This window comes from Homo sapiens, chromosome 5, assembly GCF_000001405.40.
Source record: "Homo sapiens chromosome 5, GRCh38.p14 Primary Assembly".
NCBI classification, from domain to species: domain Eukaryota; kingdom Metazoa; phylum Chordata; class Mammalia; order Primates; family Hominidae; genus Homo; species Homo sapiens.
The window spans coordinates 180683383-180702374 of NC_000005.10; the positions used below are offsets into that span (position 1 = coordinate 180683383).

Here is an 18992-nt window from a genome sequence, read left to right on the forward strand (position 1 = left end):
TCATCTCTTTGTTTAGGTTCGAAATCTTAGTGTGGCAAAGGTGGCGCTGTTTTGCCTGCCTTTGCTCAAGAGCCACTCTGGTTTGAGCTTCCTGCCAGAAATGAGATTTGGGAAGTTTGGTTTAAGAAAATACTGAGAGTCCAGTAAACAACCCTAACCATGCTACTGTCATCCCTGGAAGCAGCAGTGTCATGTAAGGTGCGGTGGTACATCAGGGTTGGGAGGGACAGAGGAGAGAGTCCTTATGGAATGATTGTGGATGTCTTTGGGAGTGTGTGTGCATTTCCCCAGAAAACATACTCCCATGTTGAAAGCACAACACAAGGATCAATGTTCAAGGAAAATTCCATCAGCACTGCACAGTTTGCATAAATCAACCCATTCATCCTCCACCTCAGCTGTGCCCAAAGATAAGTTTACTATCCCCAGACCTCAGATGGACATGGTGCAGAGTCGAATTTACCAAGCTCTTGGTCTTTTAAATGGAAGAGGCACATGTGACCTCGGCAATGAGTGGAAGGTTAATGCCATGGGCTACTGCACTGAATTTGTCACAAAGCCCTGGTATAATTTCTTGCTAAGCCAAGTTACTCCAGCAGTTGCAGTGAGCTGAGATCATTCCATTGCACTCCAGCCTGAGTGACAAAAGCGAGACTTCCTCTCAAAAAAGAAAAAAGAAAAGAAAAGAAAGAGATCAGGCTCTTGGTGGTGGTGAATATAGAGAAGCTGCTCGGGGGGCTCTGGGGCAGTGGGGGAAGGGACGTTCTTCCTCCTTCACATGGGCCTATGCTTCAGAGCCATGGGGAGAGTTTCTGTTCTTTCCTGTGGTGCCCACATCAGCCTGGAGGGATGGGCAGGGCAGGGGCTGCCACCCAGAGTTGACAGCTCTGGGAAGTGAAATGAGGGATTTGAAGTGACCTGCCCAGAGTCACAGCACTCGGGAGTGATGGATCTGGGACAAGAATGTAGTTGGTTTTCTGGGGACAGAGGTCCCTGAACGCCTGAGACCTCCAAATCATGGACTGGACCCTGAACCAGGGGCTCTTTTCACTCCCTTTCTCGATCCTCCTGCCCCAGGTCTCTTCAGGAAGGTGGATGCCTGGAGGTGGCTAAGTCCAGAGAAGAGCTTCAATCATTCAAACAGAAACCTCCGGCCCCTGACCTTGCTTTGTGGTGAGCACATGACCAGTGACCATCCCAAGGGACCAGGGGGGTCTGTTTGGCCGCCAGGCTGGCTCAGAACTCAGGACGTTCCAAGCCAACTGCCACTTAACGGCTGTGCCAGGAAAAAACCTTCCTGCAACTGACCAACCCTGCAGGAGCAGTTAACGGAAGTTAACTGAAAATGTGGCCATCGGGGCTGGTGCATCAGTGGTTTGATGAATTCTATCCACGACCCATCCATCTTGCTGACGGCCGACCTGAGCAGCTACCTGAGAGCTGGCAGCGCTCGCTCGATGAAGGCCGCCGAATGACCTGGAAGCCACCCTGATGGGCAGGGCCCTCGAGGTTAATGAGACACAGGTAAAGTGTGCCCCAGGCCATGAGCAGGGGCCCTGAGGAGGAGGACTGTGAGCAGGAAGCGAGCTCCCTCACCTGCTCGCAGGAGACAACCCAGATAGATCAAAAGCCAAGAGCACAAAACCATGTGACAGCTGAGACAAATGTTGGCTTTTTAGACCTTTAAGGCAAGCATTTTGGTATTACAGGGACAGAATTAGAACCTGGGGGAAGCTGATGGAGCTGATGAAAATTTGAAGGAGGTGGAGGTTGTGCTGAGCCAAGATTGTGCCATTGCACTCCAGCCTGGGCAACAGAAGGAGAAGAGGGAGACCCCGTCTCAAACAAAAAAAAAAAAGAAAGAAATAGATTTCAGAATGAAAAATTGTTACCTCTTGTATTCTCATTGAGAACAAATTGATATCTTACGAACAGCTTACTTTTTAACCTTTGGTTTGATATTAGCGTATGTTTAATATTGTAGCTAGTTTTAATAAGACCCTATAAACAAATCTATCTCGGTTTTGATTGTGATTAGAAATTATGAGGTTATAAAACATTTATGTTTCATAAGCCTTTTATAACCTCATAACTTTTTCTATTTTATAACTGTTTACATTCATTCAGTTGTATTTATCTTTCAAATTTTTCTTTAAAACAATCCCCAAAACCTTTAAACTAGGCAAAATTCTGTTTCAAATCATGAAATAACTCATTATTTTTTTAGCAATCTCTGCATTTAGTATGCTCTAATATTTGGTTTCAGGTTTGGATGTCTCTATTCAGAAGACTTTGGCCTGTAATCCCCCTCTCATGGGCTGTCTCACACCGCACTTGGTATCAAGATTCTCCCGATCTGGTGAAGGCAGTGTTGCTGTGTTCCTTCTGGATCTATTCTATGGAAAAGAGTGCATAAAATTGGCATGGGAAATGGGACATTTTTCTAAATAGAGGAAAATATTTAAGGCAAAAATCCTGATAGAAAAATCAAGAATACAAATTCAGAGCTTGGGAAATTCATCTCTCCACCATCTCCAATCTGAGGACGGGGTATGTTACACTAACCTTCAGGTACAGCTGTGATGAAGGATGAAGTGTTGACTGATGCGGGGATGGAATTTTGTTTCTAGAACATTGATCCTTGGGTTGTGCTTTGCACAGAGGAGCATGCTTTCTAGAGAAATGCACACACACTCCCAAAGGCATTCACCATCACTCCACACGGACTCTCTCCTCCATATCTCCCCACCCTGATGCACCCCTATTCCTATTTAAATGACATCACTGCTTCTGGGAACTGCAGTGGATGGCCACAGTTGTTGACTAAACTCTTCATTTCTTTACACCAAACTGCCCAAACCTCATTTCCAGCAGGAGGCTCAAACCAGGGTAGTTCTCCAGCAAAAGTAGGGAGGAAAGTGTCACCTTTCTCAAAGCTAAGATTTTTCCTTATTAAATGGGAGATCCCAGAGTACGCACGTTAGAGCTGAATCGCTGAGTGTGTCTGCAGAGAGAAAGGAAAACACCGTGAGCCTCAGACCATGCTGTGTCCTGTGTTCATGGGTCTTTTCTTCACTTGGTGACATTAGAAAACTGGTTGGGAGATAGTGCTCGAGGCAATGGCCCCCAAATAAAGCCTAGAAGACACTTGAGGAAATGTACAAGAGTGTTGTATGAGATTTTCAAAAATGATTTTTGGTTGCAAAGTCACCGCTGTTTTCAAGAATGCATTTCTCCTGAGGACAATGCTCTCTGCCATGCAGTTTATCACTAACACTGTCATCTATGAGTGCCATCTGGAACAAGTTCCAAGTTGGCAATGAATGGGCTCTCACATACCTCTGCCCACCAAGAAATTCTGTGGCTCATCTGTAAAGTCCGTGGTAAGAATTACATATCTTAATTCAGAGAAAATAGAAAGAAACCAAAAGAAATAAAATTCCCATCTCAGACAAAGAAAGAAGACTTTACCGAGTGTGCTGCCTGGATCAGGTCCCAAGAATCCAGCGAGGGAAACCGCCAATTCTGGCGGTAGAAGAAGCCTAGGAAACATAGAGTCACTGTCAGCCGTGGGAGCTGCTGAAGGACCTCTGGCAGCCTTGGGTGCTGAGGACACAGGACTGGCGTGTGTGGAGGAGGTGGGTGAGAGCACGGGCGGAGCTGCTGCTGGGCCACCCTCCTTGGTGGTGAAGGGCAGGCAATGGACGCCATCAGGAGAGCCCTGGGAGACACAGCCTCGGGTCCCTGGCTAAGCCGCCCTCATCACTGTGAAGTAGGCAGTGTTTACACAGGCAGCACAGAAATGCACGACATCACTCCAGGACAGGGTCTCCTCACAGAAAGAGGCCTGGAAAATGTCCTCTATTTTAAAACAAGTTACCATGTTTAACATTCCTGAATCTATATATGCTCCTTCTGCACTTATCATCTCTATTATTGGATTTTTTTTTTTTTTTGAGACAGAGTCTCACTCTGTTGCCCAGGCTGGAGTGCAGTGGTGTGATCTCGGCTCACTGCCACCTCTGCCTCCTGGGATCGAGCGATTCTCCTGCTTCGGTCACCTGATATTATTGGATTTTAAAGCATTATTGTGAGAAATACACAATATGTATTATTTTAATTATTAAGTGCACACTTCGGAGCATTAGTTCTATTCACAATGCTGTACAGAAAACTAAAAACAGGCCGGGTGCAGTGGCTCGCACTGTAATCCTAGCACTTTGGGAGGCCAAGGCAAGGTGGATCACCTGAGGTCAGGAGTTTGAGACAAGCCTGACCAACACTGTGAAACCCCGTCCCTACTAAAAATACAAAAATTAGGCGGGCATGGTGGCGGGCACCTGCAATCGCAGCTTCTAGGGAGGCTGAGATGGGAGAATCACTTGAACCTGGGAGGTGGAGGTTGCTGTGAGTCAAGATCGTGCCATTGCACTCCAGCCTTGGCAACAGAGCAAGACTTTGTCTTAAAAAAACAAACGAACAAAACTAAAAACAATATTAATTCAGTTTTCTTACCTTCCACCTTAGGAAGCTACAGAAAAAACTATAGTGTAATGTAAACCAGATATAAAAATAGAACAAAAAATTATTTACAGAAATCATTATAATAGAAATGATAAACAAAACCAAGGGCTGCTTCATAGGAAAGATAAATAGAATTGATAAACCTCCAGCCAGGCTAACCATCAAGAAAAGCTAGGAGACACAATTTACAAATAATATAAATAAAAGGAAGAATCATTCCTGTTGATCCCATTAATATCAAGCAGATAATAAAAGAATACTTAGCATAAATCTATGCTCACAAATTTGACAGCTTAGATAAAACTAACAAATTCCTTCAAAGGCAGAAACTATATCATAAGTACCCAAAGGAGACTCAGATAATCTGAGTAGGCTTATATCTATTACAGAAATTGAATCAATAAGAACTTTTTTAAAAATGCATTTTTAAAAATGATTTTACTGAATTCTACCTAATTCTTACAAGGGAAAACATAGTCTTATTATATACACAGCTGATTAAAATTCTAAACATTTACCCAGTTACATTTTAAAATTATGCCCATTGCAAAATCTGCACGAGAATGAGGGCAGCTGTATTCACAATCACCTGAACGGGAAGCAGCTGAGATGCTCTTCAGGCAGTGAGTGCAGCCACCCACATTGTTACAGGAACCCAGTGGAACATGATTCACTGATAAAACTTAGTAAGCCGTTAAGCTAAAAAAGATAGGAAAAATCTTGCATGCATATTGCTAAGTGAAATCAGTTAGTCCTAAGTGACTGCATACTTTATGATTCCAATTCTATAGAATCTGGGGAAAGAAAATCGACAGAGGCAGTAAAATAAATGATATTTTATTTTACTCATGTTTTGAGTGTGAAACTTTTCTGTCTGGGTGATGAATGACATTATGAGTTTGTCAAAATCCGTAGGCTGAACAACACCGGGTGAGCCTTACTGCAAACTCTAGACGTTCATTAAGAAGAAGATGATATCACTATTGCTTCAGCCACTATAACAAATGCACCACATTCATGTAAGATGTGATCACAAAAAAGATACTGAGGGGGGAGGGTATATGGGAACTTTCTGTACTATTTCAATTTTTATGTTAATTTACAAGTTTCACATGATCTCCATTTGTTTGAAAACGCAGCAACATGATCTCAGGAAGAGTTCCATTTTAGCCAATGTCTAACAATCAGCGAAATATCTAAACCTTGCATTGAGATGTTCTTTACTATTAAAAGTGAACCAAACTTGAAGCGGAAATACAGTCACTAGTGACTGACTAGTGCTACACTAGTCAATTTGCACACATGAAATAAAGAAGATACAGTGTAGCAACGTCAGAGTGGTCTGAAGTGTGGGACACTGAAGAATGTGGAATCCTTATGCTTGCGAGGGTGAGTAACTGAATTTCCACAGTACCTCTACGTCGCTGCTCTTCAGGGGGCAAATTAGGATCAGGGCGCATATGCGCTCTAAATCTGTGCGTAGATTCCTGCTGATCCAAGGAGTTATCTGGGAAATGTAAGAAAATAAAGACAGCTGTTGACATCTTGCTGCAAAAGACCATAAAGAAATGAGGAATCGTTTATTCACAGTTCAACCCATTTCCTGTGTTCCCCGAGAACACTGTGCTGCCAGCGAGCTGTACTTTGAAGTGGTGGCCTGCCTCTTCACATCTGTGGGTATTTCTAGTCGGGTGGGATGAGAGACTGAGAAAAGAAGTAAGACACAAAGACAAAGTATAGAGAAATAACAGTGGGCCTAGGGGACTGGCACTTAACATACTAAGGACTTGCACTGGCACTGGTTTCTGAGTTCTTTCAGTTTTTATTGATTATTTTTATTATTTCAGCAAAAAGGAATGTAGTAGGAGGGCAGTGTGATAATAAGAAGAAGGTCAGCAAAAAACATGTGAGCAAAAGAATCTGTGTCATAATTAAGTTTAAGGGAAGGTAATGTGCCTGGATGTGGACGTAGGCCAGATTTATGTCTCTTTCTACTTAAACATCTTAGCGGAGTAAAGAATAACAAAGCAGCATTGCTGTAAACATGTCTTGCTTCTTACTATCGGGCGGTTTTTCTTTGATCTTAGAATTGAACAAATGTACAGTCGGGTTTTATACTGAGACATTCAGTTCTTAGGAGCAGGCAGGAGACAGTGGCCTTCTTCTATCTTAACTGCAAGAGGCTTTCTTTTTTTACTAATCTACTTTAGCACAGACTTTTTACAGGTGTCGGGCTGGGGGACGGTCAGGTCTTTCTTATGAGGCTATATTTCAGACTATCACATGGGGAGAAACTTTGGACAATACTTCACTTTCAAGGGCAGAGGTCCTTGCGGCTTTCTACAGTGCGTTGTGCCTTTGGTTTATTGAGACTAGAGAATGGCGATGACTTTTACTAAGTATACTGCTTGTAAACATTTTGTTAACAAGGCACGTCCTGCACAGCCTTAGATCCTTTAAACTTTGATTGTATACAACACATGTTTTTGTAAGCTCTAGGTTGGGTCAAAGTAGTTGGGTCAAAGTGGCTGGGGCAAAGCTACAGATTAACGTCTCAGCAAAGCAATGGTTCAAAGTACAGGTCTTTTTCAAAATGGAGTCTCTTATGTCTTCCTTTTCTACATAGACACAGTAACAGTCTGATCTCTCTTTTCCCTACACAGTTTTCCTTTCTAAATGGGAAATGGATTAAATCAGGGGTCCCCAACCCCTGGGCCATCGATAGTGTGTGGCCTGTTTGGAACTGGGCTGCACAGCAGGTGGTGAGCAGCCAGCTGGGAGCAAAGCTTCATCTGTATTTACAGCCGCTCCCCGTCACTCCCATCACCGCCTGAGTTCCACCTCCTGTCAGATTAGCCAGGGCATTAGCTTCTCATAGAAGCGCAAACCCTACTGTGAGCTGCACAGGCCAGGGATCCAGGCTGCATGTGCTTTATGAGAATAAATGCCTGATGATGGGTCACTGTCTCCCATCACCCCCAGATGGGACTGTCTCGTTGCAGGAAAACAAGCTCAGGGCTCCCACTGATTCTACCTTATGGTGAGTTGTAGAATTACTTCATTAATTATTACAATATAATAATAAAGTGCACAATAAATGTACAAGAATCATCCTGAAAGCATCCTTCCTCCCCACCCTCATCCTCTGAAAAATTATGTTCCATGAAATTGGCCCCTGGTGTCAAAAAGGCTGGGGACCACTGGGTTCAATGTTTGATCCATTGTCCACTGTCACCATCTGCAGCGATAAGCCTCCTGAAACTGAGCTGGGCGTTAGGAAGAACTTGCACTGTGGATTGCACTTAACAACGGTGCAGACCGACTGTGTAGGCAAATCCCTGTACTGAGATAAGACAAGGTAGAAGGGCGGCAGATGGGAGTGACCAAGAGCACGGGGAACTGGTGCACAAAGGTTTGGGCTCAAGTCCTTATTTGGAAGCTACATGAACTGAGAAGTTCTATAGACCCTTCTGTGCCTCAGTTCCCTCTTCTGAGTGTGGAAATGTTCATAATGGCCTATGTTACATTCTAAGGCTAAAAGTAATTAAACAGAGGTAAATTCTGAAGAAAACAGGTGCTTCAGGAATCCCCTTCACCCATTCCAACCTCCAGCTTCATTATCAAACCCTATCCATCTTCCTCATGATTGTCAGACCAGACTTTCATGGTCCCTCATTGTCACAGCTGCAGCTCTCCCTGAGAGCTGCCTTCACCCTCACCCCAGCCAGTCCCTCTCTGGAATCCTCCTCCCATACACACATACCACCTTTCTAGCATAAGCCGGATTCTGCCACTGTCTATTTGAAGTCCTGCGTATGACTTCCATCTCCTACTGCAAGAGTCATCAGCTCAGCCCAACTTCCCTAAGCCCTGATGATCCAGCCGTCATCTGTCTCTGCCACCTCCTGTCCTCACTGTCACTGTGCTCTCCCTTCACCACCAATATTGTAACTGACGAGCCTATCCCCACATACAATGTCCTCCTTAAACTTTCTCTGCCTGGAACTTCTTCTGCTTTAACCAATATGAGAAATTGGAATACCTTCTTTATGGCTCATAACACATGCCATCTACCCGGCAAAACCTTTCCAAAAGGTCAGTTCTCATTTCTCATTGCACATCCCTCCATGGCAGCAGAGGCCATATTATGTCTACCTTTGTATTTATTTACAATCTGTTTGTAAATCATGACATGCTGAATAAAATTACTGCCACATTTATATTGGTGTCATGAATCCTTAACATACCATAAACACTCAGCCCTTGCCATGTGAGAGAACAAATGGGTATATAAACTTAATATTATTCTCCTTTGTATTAGCAACACATATACTTACCCTGGTCTGGATCCACCGAATGTTTTCTACCCCACTGCCACACACCTGCCCAAATCCTAAGCAGCATTTAGAAACTAGCTCAAGTGTCTCACTGCAGGCAGTTTTCCTTGTTCCCTCAAAAACAAAGTATGATACTGTCCCTGAATTCCTTACTCAGTTTTCTTTCCTGTAAGGTTTCAATTCCTATCTTACGTTAATAAAGATTTAGATCCACATGATCCGTCTTCATATGTAAGCTATTTCAGAGCAGTTTCCATATCTACCATGTGTTGTATCCTTCAGAAGGTCCAGTATTCCCCAGAAAACTACAGCTCTAACAATCTCTTGAGAAAATCAACAAGTATTGCAAAATATCCTGATTACAGATTTTGAGGACAGCAAAAATGTGAATGAATGCCTGTATTATGCAATTTTTGTAAGATTACAATCACCACTGTTGATGACAACAATTTTACATTCAGCTTGTATTTAGTACTTGCTTCATTTGTTTGTCAATCAATTTGGGCTGAAATCTGAAAATTATCCTTCCTGCCATTAATCCACTCTCCAAATAATTTCTATGACACAAATTCCAGGGATCGTAATTTCTTAAACTGAATCCTTCCAGATCAATTTTCCAATTGCCCTCTTTACAACTTTGTTCCTCAGTGCATAGATTAGTGGGTTCTAGGTGGGGGCAGCAATGGTATAAACAAGAGGAAGCAGCTTTCCCTGAATCTGAGAGTAGTTACTCTTCAGCTGAAGACACATGAACATGATGGTTCCATAGAACAGCAAGACCACCATCAGGTGGGAGGCACAAGTCCCAAAGGCCTTCTGCTGACCTTCAGCAGACTGCAGCCTCAGCACAGCCCTGGCAATGCAGGCATAGGAGGTGAGGATGGTGCACACTGGAAGGGCAAGGATGATCACACGAGCAATTAACATCTTCAATTCAGTTGGGCCGGTGTCCACGCAGGACAGCTTGACAATGAGCAGGACCTCACAAAGAAATGGTCCACACGGCGGTGGCCACACAGAGGCAAAATGGTGGTTAGTGAAGAGTGAAAGAGAGAGTTGGCTAACCCAGAAAACCAGGACAAGGCTGCGAGAAAGTGGCAGATCTGTTGGTGCATGATTGTAACATAGTGAAGGGGCCAGCGGACGGCAACATAACGGTCCACAGCCATGATAGCAAGAAGCACACACTCTGTGGAGCCAAGAGCCAAGGCTACAGAATACTGAACCATGCAGCCTACATAGCTGACCTTCTTACTCTCTCCCCAGATGTTCACCAGCATCTGAAGGACAATGCAGGTGGTGAAACACATGTCCAGAAATGAGAGCTTTCGGAGGAAGAAGTACATTGGGGTGCGGAGCCGGTAGTCCAGCAGAGAGACCAAGATGATGGCTGTGTTCCCTGTGAATGTCATGGTGTAGAACCCGGAGACAAACAGAGAAAGGATGAACTCAGCCTGGGGATATTCTGAGAAGCCAACTAAGATGAAGTCTTCCCCTGAGCTGTCATTTATTTTCATCATCTGCTTATTTTGTAGCACTTGAAATAGAATCAAGTGTACTCTATCTATTGTCAAAACAAATTTTAAAAAGGAGTTAGTCAATTTTTATGTAATATTCACTATGATTTCACAGGTTTGCAAACAAATCTACATAATAGGAATTCAAATTTCCTGGTGTAAAAAATTATTTAAATGGTTTAAATGTAAATCCAATGTTACAAAGAATGTAAAACTTAGAATAAAGTAGCTTTGTTTTATTATTATTACTGCTTAACACTTTTAGACAAATGAGCTCAAAACACTAAGAATAGTAAAGATAAAATAAAATAAATTTTATAGACCACCAGTACTATATTAAATAGATGTAGAAAGAGTGGACATCCTTGTCTTGCTCCTGATCTTACAGAAGAAGCTTTCAACTTGTCACCACTAAGCATGTTAGCTGTTAGCTTTTCATTTATGGCTTTTATTGTGTTGTGCTACATTCCTTCTATACCTAATCTATTGAGATTTTGTATCATGAATGGACATTGAATTTGGTCAAATACTTTTTCTGCCGCTAACATGATGATCGTATGGTTTTGTCCTTCACTCCGTTCATGTGGTGTGTCACATTTATGGATTTGCATTTATTTAAAAGATCAACAAAATTGACAAACCCTTAGCTAGATTAACTAAGAAAAAAAGACTCAAGTAAAATCAGAATGAAAGAGGGTCCATTACAGTCAGTATCACAGAAGTAAAAAAGGTTTATAAGACAACCCATGAACAATTGTACTCCAATAAACAGATAATCTAGAAGAAATGAATAAACTCCTTGAAACATACAACTTACCAAGACTGGATCAGCAAAAAATAGAAAACTAGGACAGACCAATAACTAGTAAGGAAACTGAATCAGCAATTAAAAACTTCCCAACAAAGAAAAACTCAGAACCATAAGGCTTCACTGGTGATACTCTACCAAATATTAAAGATGAATTAAGATCAATTATGCTCCAATTCTTCAAAAAATAAATAAATAGGAAAAAACACTCACAAACTCATTCTATGAAGCTAGCATTGTCCTAATATCAAAGCCAGACAAAGTCACTAAAATAAAAGAAAACTGTAGAATAATCCTGATGATTATTGGTGCAAAAACCCTCAAAAGAAAATTAGCTGGGTGTGGTGGCAGGTGCCTGTAGTCCAAGCTACTCGGGAGGCTGAGGCAGGAGAATGGCATGAACCCAAGAGGCAGAGCTTGCCGTGAGCCAAGATTGCACCATTGCACTCCAGCCTGGGCAACAAAGTGAGACTCCGTCTCCAAACAAACAAACAAACAAAAACCCTCAAAAGATATTATCAATCTGAATTCACAGCACATTTAGAGGATTCTACATCATGATCAAGTTTTATTCCTGGAGTGTAAGGATGGTTTAATGCTGGAAAATATATGAAGATTAATCAATGTAATATTCCACATTAATAAAAGACAAAACTACATGATCATCACAACTGATGCAGAAAAAAGCATTTGACAAAAGATAATACCCTTTTCCTGGTAAAAACAATCAGCTAGGAATAAAAGGAAACCACCTCAACATTATAAAGCCATGTATGAAAAATGCACAACTTACACCATACTCAGTGGTGAAAGACTGAAAGTTTTTCTTCTAAAATCAGGAACAAGGTGAGGATGTTGGTTCCCACCACCTCTATTCAATATACTACTGGGAGTCCCAGCTGGATTAATTAGGGAAGGAAAAGAAATACAAGATATCCAAATTGGAAATGAAGAAGTAAAGCTATCTCTGTTCACAGATGATATGATCTTATAGGTAGAATGTCCCATAGAGTGTGCAAACACACAGTTAAAATGAATGAATAAATTCAGCAAAGTTGATGAATAAAAGATCAGCAAACAAATCAACTGCATTTCTATAGACTAAAAACAAATAATCTAAAAGGGAAATTAAGAAAAAACTTCATTTAAAATGGCATCAAAAAGAATAAAACACTTAGAAGTGAAATTAAACCATCAAGTGAAAGACTTGTACATCCAAACACTATAAAATGGTGAAAGAAATGAAAGAAGACATAAATAAAGAAAATACATCCCATGTTCGTGAATTGGAAGGCTTAATATCGTTACAATGTACACACTATTCAAAACAATATATTCAGTCCTCTTTAATCCCTATCAAAATTCCAATAATTTTTTTTCAAAAACAGAAGAATTCATTCTAAAATTGATGTAGAACTTCAAGAGACCCTGAATAGCCAAAACAGTCTTGAAAAGAAACAAAGTTTGAGGTCTCTCACTTCCTGATTTCAAAATATATTGCAAAGCTACAGTAATTGAAACAGCATGGTACTGGCATAAAGATATACATACAGACCAATAGATTTGGATAGAGAGTCCAGAAGTAAATCCTACTGTGCAGGAGGACAAATCTCTGCATTGCCTTGGATGACCCAGCTCTGCCTACTCCCACTTGCATTCTTGGAATAACCGTAAAATGAAACATCCTGAAATTAGAAGGACCTGTTTGGAAGACTCTAGACAGTGTCATCATTCCTTCCAGAACTGAATATTTTACAACACTTGTGCTCAGTGATCCAAGTTGCACCCAGAGGTATAAAATCCAAAGTGGACTGTTTTAGGCATCACTCAGCTGAGATACAGAGTGGGATATGTAAACAAAATTTTATCTGTCCTGGAAAGATTTCCTAAGCCTTGAGGCACCAGCACACCACATATTCCAGCCTTCTGTTTATCCTTGCTTCCTATCTGTTAACAATAAAGTTGTTTTACTTAGTGTATTTTAAGAGTGTTCTGTCTCACCACACTCACACTCTGGCAGCTGGGTTTGAGTAAAACCTTCTGCCAGATTTAGAAAACTTTGCAGAAATTGGCAAGGTGTTTAGTCTTCACCTGGGATTGATACTAGTGCACACTATTCTGCTTAACATCACACACGTGGTCAGATGATTTTTGACAGGGGTGCAGAGGGAGACAGGAGACTCTCTTCTCAAATGATACTGGGAAAACTGGATGTTCATATGCAAAAGAATAAACTTGAATCCTTATGTTAAACCATATGTAAAAATTACTCAGAATTGATGAACAACATAAACCTAATACAGACAAATCAAACAGCAGCACATCAAAAAGCTTATCCGCCACAATCAAGTAGTCTTTATTCCTGGGCTGCAAGTTGGGTTCCACATATGCAAATTAATAAATGGGATTCACCACATAAACAGAACTAAAGACAAAACCTACATGACTATTTCAAAAGATGCAGAAAAGGGCCGGGTGCCTGTAATCCCAGCACTTTGGGATTTATTAAAAAGTCCAAAAATAACAGATGCTGATGAGATTGTGGAGAAAAAGGAATGCTTATCCACTATTGGTGGGAGTGTAAATTAGGTCAGCCATTGCGGAAGACAAAATGGTGATTCCTCAAAAATCTAAAGACAGAAATGCCATTCAACACAGCAATCCCATTATGGGGCATACACTCAAAGGAATGTAAATTGTTCTATTATAAACACACATGCACCCGTATGTTTATTGCAGCACTATTCACAATTACAAAGACATGAAATCAACCTAAATGTCCATCAATGATAGACTGGATAAAGAAAACGTGGTACATGCCAGAGAATACTATGCAATCATAAAAAAAGAATGAGATCAAATCCTTTGCAGAGATATGGATGGAGATAGGGGACATTATCCTTAGGAAACTAACACAAGAACAGAAAACCAAATGCCACATGTTCTCACTTATAAGTGCGAGCTAAATTATGAAAATGCATGGACACATAGAGGGGAACAACACATACTGGGGACTATCAGAGGGTGGACAGTGTAAGGAGAAAGAGGATCAAGAAAAATAACCAATAGGTACTGGGCTTAATGCCTGGGTGATGAAATAATCTGTACAACAAACCCCCAAGCCACAAGTTTACTTATGTAACAAACCTGCACATGTACCCTAAACTTAAAAGAAAAAGATCCCCATACTACAAAATTCTTAGAAGGAAACATAGGGGAAAATCTTCATGGTGTTGGATTTGGCAATGATTTCTTAAATATGATATCAAAAGCACAAGCAACACCAGGAAAAATAGACAAATGGGACTATATCAGACCTAAAACTTCCATGCATAAAAGGACACAATCAATAAAGTGATTGTAACTGGTGATCTGTGAGCCTTGCCTGTGGCTGGAGTGGCCAGGACGTGAGAAGCAGCATTCTGGGGCAGCACAGGGCAGCAGTACTCTAGGCCTGGTTTTCTTTCCTTTCTCTTCCCCAAATCAGTCCGTCCTCTCGGTCCCCTCAGCCTTTCCCCCATTGTCTTGAATATTATCACTTGGCTCCCTTTTAGTCATACTAATCTTTCTAACAAGTGGTTTCTCTGCAGCCTGCTTGAATTCCTCTTCTGAAACTGCCTCTTCTTTCTTGACCACATGGCGAGGCTGTGAATTTTCCAAATGTTAACACTCTACTTCTCTTTTAATTATCAAGTTATTCCTTTGCTCCCATATCTGATTGTAGGTTGTTAGAGCCAGCTATGCAACTTCTTGAACACTTTGCTGCTTAGAAATTTTGCAGGGCACAGTGGCTCATGCCTGCACTTTGGGAGGCCGAGGCAGGAGGATTACCTGAGGTCAGGAGTTCAAGACCAGCCTGGTCAACATGATGAAACAACTTCTCCACTAAAAATACAAAAAATAACTGGGCATGGTGGTGCATGCCTTTAATCCCGGCTGCTCGGGAGGCTGAGGCAGGAGAATTGCTTAAGCCCGGGAGGCAGAGGTTGCAGTGAGCCGAGATCATGCCATTGCACTCCAGCCTGGGCAACAAGAGTGAAAATCTATCTCAAAAAAAAAAAAAAAAAAAGAAAAAGAAAAAGAAAGAAAAAAAAAGAAATTTCTTCCACCTTATGTCATCACTCTTAAGCTTAGCCTTACACAAAGTTCTAGGACATGGACACAATCCAGCCAAATTCTTTGCTATGGTGTAGCAAGGGTGACCTTTGCTTCAATTCCTAATAATGTTCTCATTTTCATCTGATACTTCATCAGCCTGTCCTTCACTGTCCATATTTCTATCGGTATTTTGACTACAACCACTTAACCAGTCTCTAAGAAGTTCCAAATTTTCCCTAGTCTTTCTGTCTTCTTATGAGCCCTTCAAATTCTTCCAACCTCTGCCCATTACCCAGTTCTCAAGCTGCTTCCACATTTTTAAGTATTTTTATAGCAACACCGCACTCTTGGTACCAATTTTCTGTGTTAGTTCATTTGTGTTGCTATAAAGAAATGCCTGAGGTTGGGTAATTTATAAAGAAAAGAAGTTTATTTGGCTCAAGGTTTTGCAAACTGTACAAGAAGCATGGCACCAGCATCTGCTTCTGGTGAGGACCTTAGGAAGCTTTGACTCATGGTGGAAAGCAAAGGGAAACCAGTATGTCACATAGTGAAAGAGGTAGCAAGGGAGATATGAGGCACTTTTAAACAACTAGGTCTCACATGAATTAGTAGAGTGTAAATGCATTCATTACCACAGGGAGAGCACCAGCCATTCATGAGGAATGTGCCTCCATAAACCAAACACCTCCCACCAGGCCCCAACTCCAACACTGTGGGTCAAATTTCAACATGAGATTTGGAGGGGACGATATCTAGACTATATCAAGGGGTTAATATCTAGAATGTATAAAGTACTCCTATGACTAAATAACAACAAAATAACCCAACTCAATAATGGACAAAGGATTTGAATAAACATTTCCCCATAGAAGATTTACAAATGGCCAATAAGCACATGAAAAGATTCTAAGTATCACTAACCATTAGGGAAATGCAAATAAAAACTACAACGAGATATCACTTCATACTTAACTAGAGTGGTTACTACCAAAAACGGAAAATAAATGTTAGTAAGAATGTGAAATTGGAACCCTTCTGCATTGCTTTTGGGAAATCTAAAATGGAGCTGTTGCTTTGGGAAAAAGTATGACAGGCTCCTCAGAAAATTAAAAATAAAATTACCATATGGTTTAGCAAACTCCTTGCTGGGCATATACCCAGAATAATTGAAATCAAGGACTTGAACAAATACTTGCACACCTGTGTTCATTACAACATTATTTATAATATCCAACAGGTGGAAACAACACAAATATTTATCAACAGATGAACAAATAAACAAAAATGTGGTATACTCATCCAATGAAATATTACTCAGCCTTCAAAAGCCTTCCTGTCACATTCTACTACATAGATTAATCATGAGGACCTTATGTGAAGTGAAATGTTGCGGAAGTCAGGGACCCCAAACGGAGGCACCGGCTGAAGCCATGGCAGAAGAACATAAATTGTGAAGATTTCATGGACATTTGTTAGTTCCCCAAATTAATACTTTTATAATTTCTTACGCCTGTCTTTACTGCAATCTCTGAACATAAATCGTGACGATTTCATGGACACTTATCACTTCCCCAATCAATAACCTTGTGATTTCCTATGCCTGCCTTTACTTTAATCTCTTAATCCTGTCATCTTTGTAAGCTGAGGAGGATGTATATCGCCTCAGAACCCTGTGATGATTGCGTTAACTGCACAAATTGTTTGTAGAGCATGTGTGTTTGAGCAATATGAAATCTGAGCACCTTGAAAAAAGAACAGGATAACAGCAATGTTCAGGGAACAAGGGAGATAACCTTAAACTCTGGCTGCCTGTGAGCTGGGCGGAACACAGCCAGACTTCTCTTCTTTCAAAAGCAAATAGGAGAAATATCGCTGAATTCTTTTTCTCAGCAAGGAGCATCCCTGAGAAAGAGAATGCATCCCTAAGGGGAGGCCTCTGAAATGGCCGCTTTGGGGGTGGCTGTCTTTTATGATCATAGCTGTGGGATGAAATAAGCCCCAGTCTCCTGTAGTGCTCCTAGGCTTATTAGGATGAGGAAATTCCTGCCTAATAAATTGTCTCCATTTGCCTTGTAATATCTTATTACCTTGTGAAGCATGTGATCTCTGTGACCCACACCTATTCGTACACTCCCTCCCCTTTTGAAAATCACTAAAAAACTTGCTGGTTTTGCAGCTTGGGGGCATCGCGGAACCTGCCGACATGTGATGTCTCCCCTGGATGCCCAGCTTTAAAATTTCTTTCTTTTGTACTCTGTCCCTTTATTTCTCAGACCAGCCGACACTTAGGGAAAATAGAAAAGAACCTCTGTGAAATATCGGGAGTGAATTTCCCCTGATAGTGAAATAAGCCAGTTACAAAAAAACTTATGCTAAAATTTGTATTAATTTCACTTATATATGGCATCTAAAGCTGTCAATTTTATAGAAACAGAAAGAATGATAGTTATTAGGAGACGGGGTAGAGGAAATGGAGAGTTATTTAATGTGTTGTAGAGTTTCAGCATGTAAGATGAAAAAGCTCTGGAGATCTGTTACACAACAACATGAATATATTAACACTACTGAACCGTACACTTAAAATGGTTAATGTGGTAAGTTTAATGCTATGTTTTTTTAAAACCTCAATTAAAAATTAAAGTTAAAAAAATTAGAGACCAAGTTGTTTGGAGATAGATTAGAATTTATTAAAATAAATCACTCTAAATAAATAATTATTTGCTTCTTCTCTCCCCACCCCAAACAATGTACATTTTGAGAAATGATCAAGAGTCAGTGGATGCAGGGTAATAGCGGTGAGCATAGTGGATAAAGAAAGGGAATAAGATAAATTATGCTTATGTCTTGCATAAGCTTGTCATGACAGTGTGCTACAAACTGCACAGGACATTAACCCCACCTTCTTCACATAAAATTCCAAAGTAGAGGTAAAGACATAAAAGTGAAGTAGAAAAAAGTCATAGATTTCTAATATTAGCATGAGCTAGTTTAATGGAGGAGAGATCTCAAAAAGAGTAGGAACAGAAGATATTGAATACTTATGAATAACCTACATAAAAAATAAACAGGTCTCATAGAGGAGTGTCTAAATTTCTGAATAATATGAAATATTTTAACATGTGGTGTTACATACGTCCTTCTTATAGGAAAAACTATGTTTTAAAGATGGAAATGTTTTCTAAATTTATCAATGAACTCAAGACAATCCCAGTAAACTTACCAATATTTTCTAACTTGACGAAATTGTTCTAAAGCTTAACTAAAATAATAATCTATTAATAATGACTTAGCTACATCTAAAAAGCATTATATTTTTATTATTAAAAAATACTATCTAGTCACAAATAGCAAAAACAGTGAAACTGAACCAGGAAGCCAATTAGAAAAAAATTAAAAATTCAGAAATTAGCCAAAGTTTCTAGGATTTTAATATAAAAAATTAAGTATTTTAAATCTAAGTAGGAATAATTTATTATTCAATAACATATGTAAATCCTAGATACACTGATAACTTAAATACAGTAACAAAAACAGCATGGTACTGGTACCAAAACAGATGTATAAACCAATGGAACAGAACAGAGGCCTCCCAAATAACACCACACACCTACAACCATCTAATCTTTGACAAACCTGACAAAAACAAGCAATGGGGAAAGGATTCCCTATTTAATAAATGGTGCTGGGAAAACTGGCTAGCCATAT

At 40.5% G+C, this 18992-nt stretch overlaps 1 long non-coding RNA gene and 1 pseudogene across 1 annotated transcript; one reads left to right on the forward strand and one right to left on the reverse strand.

The window, feature by feature from the left end:
- Positions 1 to 713: 713 nt before the first annotated feature.
- LINC02222 (long intergenic non-protein coding RNA 2222) lies at positions 714 to 3161 on the forward strand. The gene is made up of 2 exons (NR_146728.1): positions 714 to 1524; positions 2267 to 3161. It is a non-coding gene; the product is annotated as a long intergenic non-protein coding RNA 2222 (long non-coding RNA).
- Positions 9453 to 10381, reverse strand: OR2AI1P (olfactory receptor family 2 subfamily AI member 1 pseudogene; annotated as a pseudogene).